General features: G+C 44.9%; 1 long non-coding RNA gene across 1 annotated transcript in view; it reads left to right on the forward strand.

The window, feature by feature from the left end:
• LINC02558 (long intergenic non-protein coding RNA 2558) overlaps window positions 1–17,712 on the forward strand; it is a 66,377-nt gene that overhangs the window by 14,179 nt on the left and 34,486 nt on the right. Inside the window, exon 4 of the long non-coding RNA NR_149128.1 lies at window positions 3,081–3,178. This is a non-coding gene — a long non-coding RNA (long intergenic non-protein coding RNA 2558). The remainder of the gene's footprint in view (window positions 1–3,080; window positions 3,179–17,712) is intronic.

Genomic DNA, 17,712 nt, shown 5'->3' on the forward strand with positions numbered 1-17,712 from the left:
GTTTGGGCAACATGGTGAAACTCTGTCTCTCCAAAAAAAAAAAATTAGCCAGGCGTGGTGGTGCACACCTTAGTCCCAGGTACTCAGGAGGCTGAGCTGGGAGGATCACATGAGCTCTGGAGGTTGAGGCTGCAGTGAGCGAAGATCATGCCACTGCACTCTAGCCTGGGTGGCAGAGTGAGTGAGACCCTGTCTTCTCTGGCCTGGGCCCCAGACTGTCTCTTGTCCTCCACGTAAGTTCATCTTTTCTATGTTTCCAGATGCGAATGACTGATGTGATAAAGTCACTCATGTTTTGTGTTGCTGGGAACGGGTGGGTTATTTATTTTTATTATTTATTTATTATTTATTTATTTGAGATGGAGTTTCACTCTTGTTGCCCAGGCTGGAGTGCAACAGCACGATCTCAGCTCACCACAACCTCTGCCTCCCTGGTTCAAGCGATTCTCCTGCCTCAGCCTCCCAAGTACTGGGATTACAGGCATGCGCCACCATGCATGACTAATTTTTTTATTTTTAGTAGAGACGGGGTTCCTCCATGTTGGTCAGGCTGGTCTCAAACTCCTAGCCTCAGGTGATCCATCCACCTCAGCCTCCCAAAGTGTTGGGATTACAGGTGTGAGCCACTGCGCCCGGCCTGCGTTTTTGTTTTTTTGAGATAGAGTCTTGCTCTATTGCCCAGGCTGGGGTGTAGTGGCGCAATCTTGGCTCACTGCAACCTCTGCCTCCCGAGTAACTGGGACTACAGTTGTGTACCACTATACCCGGCTAATTTTTGTATTTTTGGTAGAGATGGAGTTTTGCCATATTGGCCAGGGTGGTCTCGAACTATTGAGCTCAGGTGATCTGCCTGCCTTGGCCTCCCTAAGTGCTGGGATTACAGACGTGAGCCACCAAGCCCGGCCTGGGATATTTAATTAATTCAATAAATAATACATTCACCTAGCATTAATTTAGGCTTAGTATGTGCAAGGCATAGAAAAGGTTATAGTGTGGTGCTTAAAGGGACAGGCTTAAAATCAGAATGACTGGGTTTGAATCCTACTAATTAGCTGGGAGGTCTCATTCAAGGTACTTAACCCCTCACTGTTCTCCTCTATAAAATAGGAATAATAATGCTCTATAGTGCTGTGGAGATTGAATAAGAGAGCGCACATGTGAACTCAGCATGGTGCCCAGTATAGCAAATATTAATGGTGGTATACACAGTATAGTATATATGTCTGTGTGTACATATATATATATATATATATATATACACACACACACATGCACACACATATATATTATAAATATATAAATATATAAGATACACATATAGAATTTACATATATACATATACACATGTATATATATGTATATGTAGTATACATATATACATATACATACATATATTACTAGGTAGTGTATGACATATATATGTGTATGTGTGTGTGTGTATATGTATATATGTATATATCCATTCCTATTCTTAGGGAATTTAAAGACTTCAAATGGGAAAGAAAACCACTCAAATAACCAAAAAATAATAATGTATTTTTCCCAGGTGATGTATTAGCATTTGAAACAGGGACCTTCTGGAGTCATTAATCAAAGGACAGTTATTCTTAGGGAGATACTTTTTTTTTTGAGAGAAATTAGGATTGATGAATGGAAGGAGGTAAACTTTTGTCTCCGTATAAAGGAGACATTTTTAAGAGAGCATCTTGCCAGGCGCAGTGGCTCACGCTTATAATCCCAGCACTTTGGGAGGCTGAGGTGGGTGGATCATCTGAGGTCAGGAGTTCAAGACCAGCCTGGCCAACATGGTGAAACCCCATCTCTACTAAAAATAAAAAGAATTAGCTGGGCATGGTGTCAGGTGCGTGTAATCCCAGCTACTCAGGAAGCTGAGGCAGGAGAACCGCCTGAACCTGGGAAGCGGAGGTTGCGGTGAGCCGAGATTGCGCCATTGCACTCCAGCCTGGGCGACAAGAGCGAAACTCCATCTCAAAAAAAAAAAAAAAAAAAAGAAAGAAGAAAGAAAAAACAAAAAAGAGAGCATCCTGAAGGTAGTGAGCTCCTCATGTCCTGGAAGGTGACCAAGCACAGCCTGGCTATTGGTAGAGAGGCTTCCTGGATTCCTTAGGAGGTTGTAGAGGGGGATTCTAGGCTCCTGGGGAGTGTTTTGCAAAGGGCTCTCTTTCCCAGCCATGCTCCTGAAGGCTTTTGTCTCTCCTTCTTTGGATACCTCCCTCCTTTGGCAGGACCTGGAACTCTGCACATATATAATGGTGCTCGAGGCAGCTACCAGGGCAGGTGCCTTGTGCAGGTGACCTAGCACCTTATCTCTCCTGTCCCCATCTCTCCTCCTGCCTTTTCTGGCTTACCTCTTAGAGCAGAAATAACCCAAGGCCAAATATTAACTGTGAAACCATAAAACCATGTGAATGTCAGGTGGCTTCCAGTGGCCTGGACTCTTGGTGCCCTGTTATCAAGAAATGCTGTCTCACCTCTCAATGGGTGGGGAGGGTGGAGTGGCTGGGATGATGATGAGGGACCCAGAACTTTAGCCTTCCACCCAAGTGGAGTGGTGGGCAGAGGATGCCTCTGTTGCCTGAGGCTTCCATGGGGATTGTTGGAATCTGATCCTTGGGGCTTGGGGAGAGACCACTGCAGCGTCTTTTAGCATCAAGAGATGCTAAAGGTGCAATCAGGAACTCTCTTAGTTTATGCAAAGTTTTCACAGGCACCTACATAGTACTGGAATACGCATCTACCACTCATGTACCCTGGTATACACGCATCTGTATACTGTGTCTTACTCATCTTCAGAACTTGGCACAGTGCCTGCAACACCAATACATCTTTGTTGAACTGATGAGTGCACAGTGAATGAACAAATATTTGTGCCCACCCACACACTCATCCACACATGTAGATATTTGCAGGAGGGTACCTGTAGATACACATGCATGTTCACATTATACCTACACAACACACACACACATTCAGACCAAACACAATAGCATAAATACACCTGTCCGTACACACCAGCACGGAATAGATACATGCATATGAATATGTATGTAAATTTACAGATTCCTGAATGATCCGGCGGCATGGCAGAGGTGGTGCCTACTGATATGGCTCCGATGACTGGAGGAACACCAGGGTCCTTGGTCTTGCGCCAATGTAGGTAAGTGACACGGACACACACGGAGTAGTTTTAAGGAGCAAACAGTTTAATAGGCAAGAAAGAAGAAAAAAAGAAGAAAACAGCTCCCCTGTACAGAGACAGAGGTGGGGGCTCGGAACAAAGAGAAACCCCGTGTGTGGCGGAAAAAGTGGTTGCTTATATTGGGATGCTGGAGGAGGCGGTGTCTGGTCTGCATAGGGCCCAGGGGATTGGTTTGACCAGGTGTGTCATTTACGTAGCCGAAGAAAAACCTGGCCCTCCCACCTTAGTCCTTTAATATGCAAATGTGGGTCGCCATGATGTTCAGAACATCGTTTTTGGACTGGAAAGACCACCTCTCGGTTGTATGCTGGGATGCCTGCACACACTCTGTTATGAACTGAATTGTATCCCCTGCTAAAATTTATATGTTGAAGTCCTAACCCACAATACCTCAGAATGTGACTATATTTGGGGAGAGGTCTTTTAAAGAGATAATTAAGGTTAAGTGAGGTCATATGGGTGGGCTCTGATCCAATCTGACATCCTTATAAGAGGAAATGTGGGCCAGGCGTGGTGGCTCTCACCTGTAATCTCAGCACTTTGGGAGGCCGAGGCGGGTGGATCATCTGAGGTCAGGAGTTCGAGATACGCCTAGTTAACATGGTGAAATCCTGTTTCTACTAAAAATACAAAAAATTAGCCGGGTGTGGTGGCACGTGCCTGTAATCCCAGCTACTCGGGAGGCTGAGGCAGGAGAATTGCTTGAACCTGGGAGGCAGGATTGCATTAAGCCGAGATGGCGCCATTGCACTCCAGCTTGGGCAACAAGAGTGAAGCTCCATCTCAAAAAAAAAACCAAAAAAAAAAAGAGGAAATTTGAACGTACGAAGAGGCATCAAGGATGCATGCACAAAAAGAAAGACCACGTGAGGACAAGGGAGGAGACGGCCATCTGCAAGCCAAGGAGAGAGTCTCAAGGAGATAACAAACCTGCTGCCTTTAATTTTGGGCATCTAGCTTCCAGAACTGTGAGAACATACATTTCTGTTATTTAAGCCATCCAGCCTGTGATATTTAGTTATGGCAGACCTAGCAAAGTAATAGACACTCCAGAACTTTCATTTCTCTCTTCTCTAGATTTTGCACAGCAGGAGGAGGGAAGGGGCTGAGGAGACCTCACCACTACAAGTAGGACCAAGTTCAGTGTCTCTTGGCTTCTTGCAATCTCTTGGAGAAAATGTACTGGGCTGGCTGGGAGCTGCCCTTGGCTGTTGTTTCCTTAAAGAATCATGATAGGGCTAGCATGGTGGCTCATGCCTGTAATCTCAGCACTTTGGGAGGCCAAGGCAGGATGATTGCCCGAGGCCAGGAGTTTACTGCTAGCCTGGGCAACATAGTGAGACCTCATCTCTACCAAAAAAAAAAAAAAAAAAAAAAAAAAACAAAACAGAAAAAGCCAGCTTAGCCAGGAGAGGTGGTTGGTGCATGCTTGTAGTCCCAGCTAATCAGGAACCTGAGATGGGAGAATCACCTGAGCCCAGAAGTAGGAGGTTACTGTGTGCCATGATCACACCACTGCACTCCAGCCTTGGAGACAACAGTGAGACTCTTGCCTGAAAAAAAAAAAAAGTTAAGAACCGTGATAATAGGTGGAGGAAAACAGTCTTAAGATTCTAAAAGGGTGAATCCCCAAGCAGGCTGGAGCCAGTGTGAAGATACTTATGAAGTGTTTGTGTGTGTGTTTGTGTGTTCACATGTTGGTATGGAGGCAGCCCCAGCCTGCTGTTTTTTTTTTTTCTTAAAAAGAGGGTGATGCTATGATTTCACTGTGTGCTGCACATTTCAAAGTCCAAGACTAGGAGGCAAGAACTCTGGCTTGAGTTTTGGGTTCTACCACCAACTTGCTGCATGGACTTAAGCAAATTGCTTCACTTTCATGGACTCGGGATTCTCATTTACATGGTTACTTGTTTCACGGGGTTCCTGTAAAGGATCCAAGGAGCTAAGGGAGCTACAGGTGCTTTGAAGAGTTAAGAACATTAAGAACTTTTCCTAGCAGCCAGGACTTACTTTTCAGCTGGGTGAAAAGCATTTCACATAGTCTGGCATCCTCAAAAATGAACCTGTGCTGAGCCCTGTGCAGTTCATATAATAAAGGGCTAAAGACAGCATACTTTCTATTCTCTAGGGGGTAGGCCAACCAAGAATACCCACAGAGGCTGGTCACTATGACCCCAAGCAGTCAGCCGTATACTGGGATAGAGTATAGTATAGAGAGGTGCTAAAGATGTTGTGGTCTTGGGGCTTTGGGAAGTCAGAGAAGGTTTCATGGAGGTAGTGAGGATTGGCTGAATTTGGTTGGGTAGATGGTGGGGATTGGGGGTAATGGAGTATTCTGAGTGGAAGAGTCAGGATGGCCCTTGGTCTACGGAGGCAGGAGAGGAATGATGCCACATCAGAGTTACAGGTAAAGATTAAAAGGGAAAACCAGAGTGACGAGGTTAATTTTTGAGTCCTTCCTGGAACTGACCCAGCCCAATGGTTAATCTTTTTGGCCCCTTGGACCCTGTCCCAGGCATACATACACACAACCTGGGGATCCAGAGCAGCCCAGAGCAGAGCTGAGGGGGAACTTGGAGGTCACCCTGCTCAAGCCTGACCCGATTCCAGAAGCAAAACGGAAGACAGATAGAGGGACTGAGATTTCACAGGGAGTTAGTTGGCAATGCAGGGATTTGAGCTCAGGTCTCCAGAGACAGAGTCTAGTACCTTTTCTAGGTCTTAAAAGTGGACTGGGTTTCAGAGGTTTTTACCTAGTGTTGGGGAGGATTGAGAGTTTGGATCCTAACTTGTAAGTGTAGCTGTATTTGTTGATTGTTTCTGGGTGCAGAGCCTAGGATTGCACACTGGATAGGCTCCTGCAGGTAACTGAGGTGGGCAGTTCCCTTGCCCTGGGGACTTCAGGGGTGACCAGAAGGCCCTCCATGTTCCTGCCTGGCTAACTGATAGCTACCATTTCACTAGAAGGGCTTCATGCCCACAGCTCTAGGCTTTGATCTTTTTCACAATGCTATTTTGCTCTGGGAGGGACATTCATAGCAAACTTTGAATCAGTTGATGACATAACTCAGTGTAAAGTGGGTGTGGGGGAGGGAACAGATCCTTTCCTGAGAGCTAATTTTGATGGGGAAAGAGAGCATGAAGGTATTTAGTGTGATGAAAAGACAAAGGCAGCCAGGGAGGCCCAGCCTTTAGGATCTAGTCTGGAGGTTCGGAGCTTGGTTTCAGAATTAGGCAGATTTTTCTTTTCCTTGTTAAAAAAGCAATATCACCTAATTACAGATTAATCAGAAAACACAGAGAGCAATGATAGCAGAAGAAATAATCCCTACAGTCCCATTCTCCCCTTCTCCCTTAGATGGCCATTATTAGTGCCTGAGAATAGTCCCTCTAGTCCCTTCTCTATGCATATTTTATGTATGCATGTGTGTGTACATATATAATGTACATGTGTGAGTTTCAGACTTCTAGCCTCCGGAACTGTGAGACAAAAAATTTCTTTTTCTTTTTCTTTTTTTTTGAGACAGAGTCTGGCGCTGTTGCCCAGGCTGGAGTGCAGTGGCGTGATCTTGGCTTACTGCAACCTCTGCTTCCCAGGTTCAAGCAATTCTCTGCCTCAGCCTCCTGAGTAGCTGGGATTCAGGTGCCCGCCACCACACCCAGCTAATTTTTGTATTTTTAGTAGAGACGGGGTTTCATTATGTTGGCCAGGCTGGTATGGAACTCCTGACCTCGTGATCCGCCCGCCTCGGCCTCCCAAAGTGCTGGGATTACAGACGTGAGCCACTGCACCTGGCCGATACAATAAATTTCTGTTGTTTAAGCCACCAGTTGTGGGACTTTGTTATGGTAGCCCTAGCAAATGAATGCAAGTGCCCTAGAGCCGTGGTTCTTAAAGTGTGGTTCTTGGACCAACAGCATCAGCATTACCTGGGATTTGTTAGGCAACGTGTGTATATACATTGATATTATTTATATGTCTAGTATATGTATGTGTATATAAGTAAAAAGTAGTATATAACCTCCTTGCTTTCACTCTGATCTGGAAAGTTTGCTGAGCTGTAGACTGGGCAGCACATGCCTGTGGACATCTCAAAGCAGGTCCCTCTTGTGCCAATTTGTTTTTATACCCTCTTCTTGTCTCCCTTCATTACCCTCTAGAGCAAGAGTTGGTCAACTTTTTCTGTAATAGGCCAGCTAGTAAATATCTTATTTTGTGGGGCATATGGTCTCTGTCACAATGACTTGACTGCCATTGTAGCACAAAAGCAGTCATAGATAATATGTAAGTGGATGATCATGAACATGTTCCAGTAACCATTTCCAGGCAATGAAATTTGAATTTCATGTGATTTTCATATGTCTTGAAATAGTCTTCTTCTTATATTTTTTCTTTTTTTTTATTATTATAATACCTTAAGTTTTAGGGTACATGTGCACAACGTGCAGGTTTGTTACATATGTATACATGTGCCATGTTGGTGTGCTGCACCCATTAACTCATCATTTAGCATTAGGTATATCTCCTAATGCTATCCCTCCCCCCACCCCACAACAGTCCCCGCTGTATGATGTTCCCCTTCCTGTGTCCATGTGTTCTCGTTGTTCAATTCCCACCTATGAGTGAGAACCATTAAAAAATGTAAAAATTGGCTGGGCGTGGTGGCATGTACCTGTAATCCCAGCACTTTGGGAGGCTGACTGAGGGGGAGGATCGCGTGAGCCCAGGAGTTCAAGACCAGCCTGGGCAATATGGTGAAACTCCATCGCTCCAAAAATATATATAAAAATAAGCTGGACATGGTGGCGACTGCTTGTAGTCCTAGCTACTGGGGAGGCTGAGGTGAAAGGATTGCTTGAGCCCGGGAGGCGGAAGCTGCAGTGAGCAGAGAGTGTGCCATTGCACTCCAGCCTGAGTGACAGAGTGAAACCCTGTCTCAAAAAAAAAAAAAAAAAAAAAGTGAAAATCAAGCCAGGTGTAGGTGGTGTGTGCTTGTAGTCCCAGCTACTTAGGAGGCTGAGGCAAGAAAATTGCTTAAGCCCAGGAGTTGGAGGCTGCAGTGAACTATGATGGCGCCATGGCACTCCAGCCTGCGTGACAGAGTGAGACCCCATCTCTTAAAAAAAAAAAAAAAAAAAAAAAGAAAGTAAAAACCATTATTAGTTTATAGACAACACAAAAAACCATGGTGGGCTAAGTTTAGCCCATGGGCCATACCTAGCTGACCCTGCTCTGTGGTAGTAGTGATGTCTGATATAACTTTCTGTTCTGATGGAAATGTTCTATATTTGTGCTGTCAAATACAGTAGCCATGAGCCCTATGTGGCTACTGAGCACTTGAAATGTGCCCAGGGTGACTTGAGGAACTCAATTTTCAGTTTTATTTCATCTTAATGAATGTAAATTTAAATAGTTATTTGTGCCTGTGACTCCTGTATTCAATAGGGTATTATTTTCTGAGGGCTGCTGTAACAAATTACCACAAATTGGGTCACTTAAAACAATGGAAATTAATTTTTTCATAGTTCCAGAGGCTATGAGTGAATAAACAAGGTGTTAGCAGAGCCATACTGCTTCTGAAGGCTCTAGGGAAGAATCCTTCCTGGCCTCTCCTCCAGCTTCTGAGGGCTTCTGGCACCCTTGGTGTTCTTTAGCTTGTCGATGCATCACTTCAGTCTCTGCCTCCATTGTCACATGGCATTCTCCTTGTGTGTGTGTGTGTGTGTGTGTGTGTGTGTATGTCTCCAAATCTTGCTATCTTTATAAGCACACCAGCCATTGGATTTAGGGCCCATCCTAATCCCGTATGACCTCATCTTTACTAATTACAACTGCAAAGACCCTATTTCCAAATGAAGTCACATTCTGAGGTTCTGGGTGGACATGAATTTTGGGAAGACAACAATCAACCCAGTATAGATAGAGTAGCTCTAAAGCACTGGTTCTTAAATTTAGTGTGCATCAGAATCACCTGGAGGACCTGCTGAACCATAGCTTGCTAAGCCCCATCCCCAGACCTTCTGATTGGTAGGTCTTGTTTGTCTAACAAATCCCATGTGTTTTGATGCTGCTGGTTCAGGGACCACACTTTGGGAACCGTTGCTGTAGTACTCTTGCATTCATTTGCTAGGGTTACCATAACAAAGTCCCACAAACCTGGTGGCTTAAACAATAGAAAGTTATTGTCTCACAGTTCTGGAGGGTAGAAGTCTGAAATCAAGGTGTTGGCGGGGTTGGTTCCTTCTGAGGGCCTTGAGGGAAGATCTATGCCAGGCCTCTCTCCTTGGCTTATAGATAGCAGTCTTCTTATTGGCATGGCATTTTCACTGTATGTGTGTCTCTGTGTCCAAGTTTCCCCTTTTTATTAGGACAACAGTCACATTGGATTAGGGCCCACCCTAATTACCTTATTTTAATTTGATGACCTCTTTAAAGACCCTATCTCCAAATAAGCTCCCATTTTGAGCTACTGGGAGTTAAGACTTCAATGTGAATTTTTTTGAGGGATGAGACACAATTGAACCCATAACAGAGCTTGACTATGCTTTTGGCACCTTGAGCTACGGGGTACCTTCTTGGAGCTCCTGTGTACAAGATAACCATGCTTCTCTTGTCTTTAAACTCTGGACAGAAGCTGGCCTGTATAAAAATTTCTACGACTAGGAGGCAGGAGTCTTGGCTTCCAGTTCTGCTCTGTTGACACCTGACTGGGGAATTGGACAAATAACTTGTCTCAAGGTCATAGTATCTCCTTGGTCTTTGGTGAGCTCTGACGATCTGTGATTCACAGGTGACAAGACAAGGTTAGTTTTTGGTTTGTTCTTGGCCTCCGTTCTGTCTTGTAGATTCTCATTTGTGCTAATGAGACCAAGGCTGGGAATTTGATCCTTTCGGGCTCATTGATTTTTTTCTATGCTCTCTTTATCAATATTTTACTCATTCATCCAACAAACACTTATTGAGCATCTCTTGTGTAGTAGGCATTGTGCTCAACAGGACAGGGTCTCGGCTCTTCTTAGCTCACCCTGGTGGTGAGAGACATATAAGCAGATAATCAGAAATACTTTTTTTTTTTTTCTCTTGAAGAGACAGGGTCTCCCTGTGTTACCCAGGCTGGTCTTGAACTCCTGGGCTTAAGCAATCCACCTGTCTTGGCCTCCCAGAGTACTGGGATTACAGGCATGAGCCACTGTACCCAGCCTGAGAAACACATTTGATGAGTATTATGGCTACTGTTAAATTTTTATTTATTTATTTATTTTTTGAGACAGGGTCTCACTCTGTCACCTGGGCTGGAGTGTAGTGATGCGATCATAGTTCACTGCAGCCTCGACTTCCTGGGGTCAAGTGATCCTGCCACCTTAGCTTCCCTAGTAGCTGGGACTATAGGTACGTGCCACCACATCTGGCTAATTCTTATTTTTTTTTAAGAGATGGGCTTTTGCCATGTTGCCCAGGCTGGCCTTGAACTCCTAGGCTCAGTCAGTCTGCCCACATTGGCCTCCCGAAGTGCTGGGATTACAAGTGTGGGCCACTGCACCCAGATAAAATTTTTAATTGGGAAGCCATAGGCTGACATGGCTCCAGCATATTAAGCCCCACTGTAAACAGTAAAACAGAATTAGAGATTTCATCAATCAGAAACGTCTAACTAACTTCTAAATAGGGACTTTTTGCTCTAACCAATCAAATATATTTTCTTTGTCTTTCTTCCACAAACACGTTATGAAAGTTTCTCACCCCCATCCCCCAGTGCAGTGCAAAATTGCTTGTGGTCTGGTGCTACCTGATTTATGAATCACTGTCTGCTAAAATAAACTCTTTAACATTGTAATGTGCCTAAGTTTATCTTTTAACATTACGTGATAAATATAATGTGCTATGGGAACTAGGATGGTAGGGTGGGTAGTTCTGCTTGGGGGTGTCAGAAAAGAATTTAATGAAGAGATGAGCTGTATTTTTTTTTTAAGAGATAGAATCTCACTCTGTCATCCAGGCTGGAGTGCAGTGGCGTGATCATAGCTCACTGCAGCCTCAAACTCCTGGGCTCAAGTGATCCTCCTGCCTCAGCCTCCCAAGTAGCTAGGACTACAGGCATGTGCCGCTGTGCCAAGCTAATTTTAAAAATTTTTCGTAGAGTTAGGGTCTTGCTTTGTTGCCCTGGCTAGAATGCATCTTAAATGTTGAACTGTAGTTCTGTGGGCACAGAGGGCCAAGAGAGGAATTCTAAGAAGAGGAGGAATTCTAGGAAGAAGGAACCGCTTGTGCTGTTCCTGGCAGGTATGAAGAGTAACTGGGTATGTTTGGTGCTCCAAGACATGTGGACGACTAGTGGGAGATGAGGCTGAAAATATGGTTTCAGAACAAGGAAGGATGTTATATGCCAGGCCAAGGAGGTTAGAGTTCATCCTGAGCCAAAAAGGAACCGTGAGGGTTTTTACACTGGGGGAGTTATATGTTCACCTGGTTGTTTTGAGACGCTCTGTCTGGCCTGAGGGAGGTGTTGGAGCTGAAGAGTCTAGAGGCAGGGAGGGCAGTTAGGGGGTCAGTTCTATGGCTCAAGTGACTGATGACAAGGTCTGAACCAAGGCAGGGGTCATGGTGGTGAGAGAGGAGAGGACAAATTCAAGATGTTTAAGGTCTTTAGCTCGGGCAACTGCGTGTTTGGTTGTGCTGGCCAGGGAAGAGGAGGAAGGAGGTTTGGGTGGAGAGAGTAATGTCTTCTGTTTTGGACAAATGACATTCAAGGGGTCTGGGCACCACCCAGGGAGGTGTCTTCTCTCAGCTTGTGAACTGTAAGTCTGGACCTCCACAGAGGGAAAGGGCTCATCTCAGGCATCTCCTCCTGCTTATTGCTCCAGCCACACTGCCTTTCTGTCCCTTCTTAGATCATTCCAGCCAAGTTTATTCCCACCTTAGGGCCTCTGATATGACTCTTCCTCTGGTTTTCCAGATGGCTGGCTCCTCTCTTTTTTTTTTTTTTTTTTTGAGATGGAGTCTTGCTCTGTCACCCAGGCTGGAGTGCAGTGGCACCATCTTGGCTCACTTTAGCCTCTGCCTCTCAGGTTCAAGCGATTCTCCCATCTCAGCCTCCCAAGTAGCTGTGATTATAGGTGCCTGCCAGCACATCCAGCTAATTTTTGTTTGTTTGTTTGTTTATTTATTTCATAGTCTTGCTCTGTTGCCCAGGCTGGAGTGCAGTGATGTGATCTCGACTCGCTGCAACCTCCACCTCCTGGGTTCAAGCGATTCTCCTGCCTCAGCCTCCCCAGTAGCTGGGATTACAGGTGCGCTCCATCACACCTGGCTAATTTTTGTATTTTTAGTAGAGATGGGGTTTTACCATGTTGGCCAGGCTGGTCTTGAACTTCTGACCTCGTGATCCGCCTGCCTCAGCCACCCAAAGTGCTGGGATTAAAGGCGTGAGCCACTGCACCTGGCCAATTTTTGTATTTTTAGTAGAGGCGGGGTTTCATCATGTTGAACAGGCTGGTCTAGAATTCCTGATCTTAGGTGATCCACCCACCTTGGCTTCCCAAAGTGCTGGGATTACAGGTGTGAGCCACTGCACCTGGCCTCATTGTTTAGTTCTCAGCAGTGCAAGGGCAGAGACTTTATTTTATTTGGTGCTCTATCCTCAAGGTCATGAGCATCTACTATGTGCCAGGAGCTCAATGCATGTCTGTTGAGTGAATAAGTGATTGGTGGCTAAAGCCTAGGAGTGAAGCAGGGGGAGAGGATGCACATTAACATTAGAGGGATCTGGCCAGGTGCAGTGGCTCATGCCTATAATCCTAGCACTTTGGGAGGCTGAGGCTGGAGGACCACTTGAGACTAGGGGTTCCAGGCCAGCCTGGGCAACACAGCGAGACCCCATCTCTACCAAAAAAAAAAAAGTTAGAAAATTAGCCAGGTGTGGTAGCATTCACCTATAGTCCCAGCTACTTGGGAGGCTGAGGCAGGGAGATCACTTGAGCCCAGAAGTTTGAGGCTGCAGTGAGCTCTGATCACTCCAGCCTGGGAGATAGTGTAAGAGAGTGAGAGTGCCTAAACTCAAATTCCCCTCTTACTAGCTGTGTTAACTGGGACCAGTGCCTCAGTTTCTTCATCTGTAAAATGGGGATAATAATGGTATCTACCACTCTGGGTTGTTGTAAGGACTAAATGAGACCTCTCATGGTATGTTCAATAAGTATGAGTCATTATTATTAATTAAATACCACCTTATGCCAGATAATACGCAAGGGACTTTCAATGCAAAATTTTAATTTTCACAATAACCTGTTGAGATAGGAATTTTAAAAATCCACGTTTTATAGTTGAAGAAACAGAGGCTCAGAAAGAGGAAGTCACAGAATCACACATTTACCGGTTGAGAGGTAGAGGTACTGGAAGCTAAGCCCGAGTTTGTCTGACTTTAATGCCTGTGCTCCTAACCACTGCACACTGCACTCCTCTGTAGATGTGACCTTGGAGTCCTGGCGTGGTAAAGTGCATCGGCTGCAGAGGCCTGTCAGAACTCAGAGGTCCTGCCTCCTAGAGCTTTAGCTTCCCTAATCCCGCAGAGACCCTCTCCAGAAAGGGTATCAGCAGCACAAAGGGTATCCCAAGATGAGATGCACCTGAGATCAGTCTTCCTTCCTCTGACTGGGAAGACTGGCAGTGGACCCAGGAGACCTTGTGAAATGTACAGCCTGGTGATCCACAACAACCTACAGACCAGAATTTTTATGACCAGTCATCACATTTCTCTCTAATATCTAGAACCTTTGGGTAGGATAAGAGACTTCAATTAAAACGCAATCTTCCCCTTTGACCAATTACTCTTTAATTATCTTCCCATTCACTAACCTCTGCCGATACCATGATAAGTAAGAGAAAATGACTTTTGAATTAGTTCATTGGTGACAAAGTCTTCTAAGGAAACAGTGTTTTATATATATCCATAGATACATGTGCACACACCTGCTCAGCTGCCCATGTGCAAACACGTGCCTGCCATGGAGTGTGTATCTACATAAGTCTACATATTCCCTAGAACACAAATAACCTTGCAAAGAACTTGCCACATGTGCCAGGGTTCTTATCTACCCAATTGTACATACATAGCAAAAACAAATAAAAAAACCTAATACAACCACACACCCACAAAACAAAACCAAAATCCAAAGCCAAACCCCAAACCCGTCAAATCCTCAGATGACTCTTAAGTTTGGAAGGGCAGACTAAGCAAAAAATTAAGAATATTAGTTTCTGGATGGAGGTGGTGGCTCACGCCTGTAATCCCAGCACTTTGGGAGGCCGAGGTGGGTGGATCACCTGAGGTCATGAGTTCGAGACCAGCCTGGCCAACATGGTGAAACCCTGTCTCTACTAAAAATACAAAATTAGCTGGGCATAGTGGTGTGCGCCTGTAATCCCAGCTACTCTGAAGGCTGAGGGAGGAGACTCACTTAGAACCTGGGAGGCGGAGGTTGCAGTGAGCCGAGATCACGCCACTGCACTCCAGCCTGGGCAACAAAGGGAGGCTCTATCTCACAAAAAAAAAAAAAAAAAAAGAAGAAGAATATTAGTTTCTATTCATTGAGTGCTCACTAAATGCTCAAAACTGTATTAAGCAATTTACATATACTGTCTCACCTAGTCTTCGTAACAACCCATGAATCAGATATTAGCACTCCAATTGTTTCTCACAGGAAGACTGAGGCTGTGGTAAAGTCCCAGTACCCGAAGGGATTATATGCACATCAGTGTTTTTTTTTTTTTTAATTTTACTTTAAGTTCCGGGATACATGTGCTGAACATGCAGGTTTGTTACATAGGTATACATGTGGTATACATGTTACATAGGTATACATGTTACATAGTTATACCTATGTATACATAGGTATACATGTTACATAGTTATACCTATGTATACATAGGTATACATGTTACATAGTTATACCTATGTATACATAGGTATACATGTTACATAGTTATACCTATGTATACATAGGTATACATAGACCCATGGTGGTTTTCTGCCCCTATCAACCCATCATCTAGGTTTTAAGCCCCACATGCATTAGGTATTTGTCCCTCCCCTTTCCCCTTACCTCCTGACACATCAGTCTTTTTGATATAGCTTGCCAAGTTCACATAACTGGCAATTCACAGAAGCAAACTTTGATGTGCAGCTGTGTTCTGACTACAAAACCTTTGTTCTTAACCACTAGGATCTTAACCATTTGTGTTTTGTTAAGAAAAAAAAATCCAAAGACACTGGTTAAAGCACTGTAACGAAGACTTTTTTCAAGACCATCATGATAGGTGTAGGAACAATGGGATATTGTAGTGGGAGGGAGAGAAATTGTGTTTAACTCTGAATATAGCATGAACAAGAGGGAATTAGTAGCCAAGGGGCAGGGTGGGGGGCCAGTGAATGGAAAATTACTAAGAGGAGGTATTGGGGGAAGTGGAATTCTGGCTAAACCGACCTAACAGGATTCCTGCTGAAGATAGGCCAGGGTGATCAGTCATTACCTGAATGATGGTAGAGGATGAGGAACCTGATCAGATATTGAGGGTGATCAGGTATCAAGGGTAGGGGTGTTTTTGCAAAACTGACTTAGTAGGATTCTTTACTGAAACGGTATTTTATGAAGAAGTACACATATATTGGCCTAGGAGAAGGTTCAGGAACCTGATTAAAGTTTGGCCAAGGTTGGGCGCGGTGGCTCATGCCTGTAATCCCAGCACTTTAGGAAGCCGAGGCAGGCGGATCACCTGAGGTCAGGAGTTCGAGAGCAGCGTGATCAACATGGAGAAACCTTGTCTCTACTAAAAATACAAAATTAGCCGGGTGTGGTGGTGCATGCCTGTAATCCCAGCTACTCAGGAGGCTGAGGCAGGAGAATCGCTTGAACCCAGGAGGCGGAGGCTGTGGTGAGCCGAGATTGCATCATTGCACTCCAGCCTGGGCAACAAGAGCAAAACTCTGTCTCAAAAAAAACAAAAAAAAGTTTGGTCAAGCAAACCATCTTTGTCAATTTTTATGTCAGGGTTGGAGAGAAGAAGCAAATTTATTTTTACTTTTCTTATTATTTTTTGAGTCAGAGTCATACTCCGTCACCCAGGCTGGAGTGCAGTGGTGCCATCTCAGCTCACTGCAACCTCTGCCTCCTGGGTTCAAGTGATTCAGCATCCTGAGTAGCTGGGATTACAGGCACACACCACCATGCCTGGCTAATTTTTTGTATTTTTAGTAGAGAGGAGGGTTCACTATGTTGGCCAGGCTGGTCTTGAACTCCTGACCTCAAGTGATCCGCCTGCCTCGGCCTCCCAAAGTGCTGGGATTACAGACATGAGCCACTGCACCTGGTGTGAATTTAATTTTTACTGAACAGCAGCATGAGACAACTTCCACAGCCATCATCCTCAATTTAGAAGGAGCAGCTAGCTACTTTAAAAAAAATTGTAGCAAAATATACACAATATTAAATTTACCTAGTAAACCATTTTTTAAGTAAACAACTCAGTGGCATGAAGTACTTTCTTTTTAAAAATTATTTTCATTGATACATAATAATTATACATATTAAAGCCGGGCGTGGTGGCTCACGCCTGTAATCCCAGCACTTTGGGAGGCCGAGGCGGGTGGGTTACAAGATCAGGAGATCGAGACCATTCTGGCTAACATGGTGAAACCCCGTCTCTACTAAAATACAAAAAAATTAGCCAGCGTGGTGGCAGGCACCTGTAGTCCCAGCTACTTGGGTGGCTGAGGCAGGAGAATGGTGTGAACCCGGGAGGCGGAGCTTGCAGTGAGCCGAGATCGCGCCACTGCACTCCAGCCTGGGTGACAGAGCGAGATTCCATCTCAAAAAAAAAAAAATTACACATATTAAAGGGTTCATGTGATATTTTGATACAGGCATATAATCTGAAATGATTAATTTGGGCTAATTAGGATATTCATCACCTCAAAAAAAAAATTTTTTTTTTTTGAGACAGAGTCTTACTCCAACACCCAGGGGCTGGAATGCAGTGGCATGATCACGGCTCATTGCAGCCTCAACCTCCCAGGCTCAGGTGATTCTCCTACCTCAGCCTCCTGAGTTCCTGGAACTACAGTTGCTCACCACCACGCTCGGCTGAATTTTTTTTTTTTTTTTTTGAGACTGAGTCTCGGTCTGTTGCCCAGGCTGGAGTGGAGTGGCATGATCTCGGCTCACTGCAACCTCCAGCTCCCGGGTTCAAGTGATTTCCAGCTAATTTTTACATTTTTACTAGAGTCGGGGTTTCACCGTGTTGGCCAGGCTGGTCTTGAACTCCTGACCTCAAGTGATCTGCCCACCTCGGCCTCCCAAAGTGCTAGGATTACAGGCATGAGCCATGAGCCACCGCACCCACCCATGGCTAATTTTTTCTATTTTTTGTAGGGATGGAGTTTTGCCTTGTTGCCCAGGCTGGTCTTGAACTTCTGGGCTCAAGCAATTTGCCTGTCTTG

The sequence above is a fragment of the Homo sapiens genome, chromosome 22 (assembly GCF_000001405.40).
Source record: "Homo sapiens chromosome 22, GRCh38.p14 Primary Assembly".
Classification (NCBI taxonomy): Eukaryota; Metazoa; Chordata; class Mammalia; order Primates; family Hominidae; genus Homo; species Homo sapiens.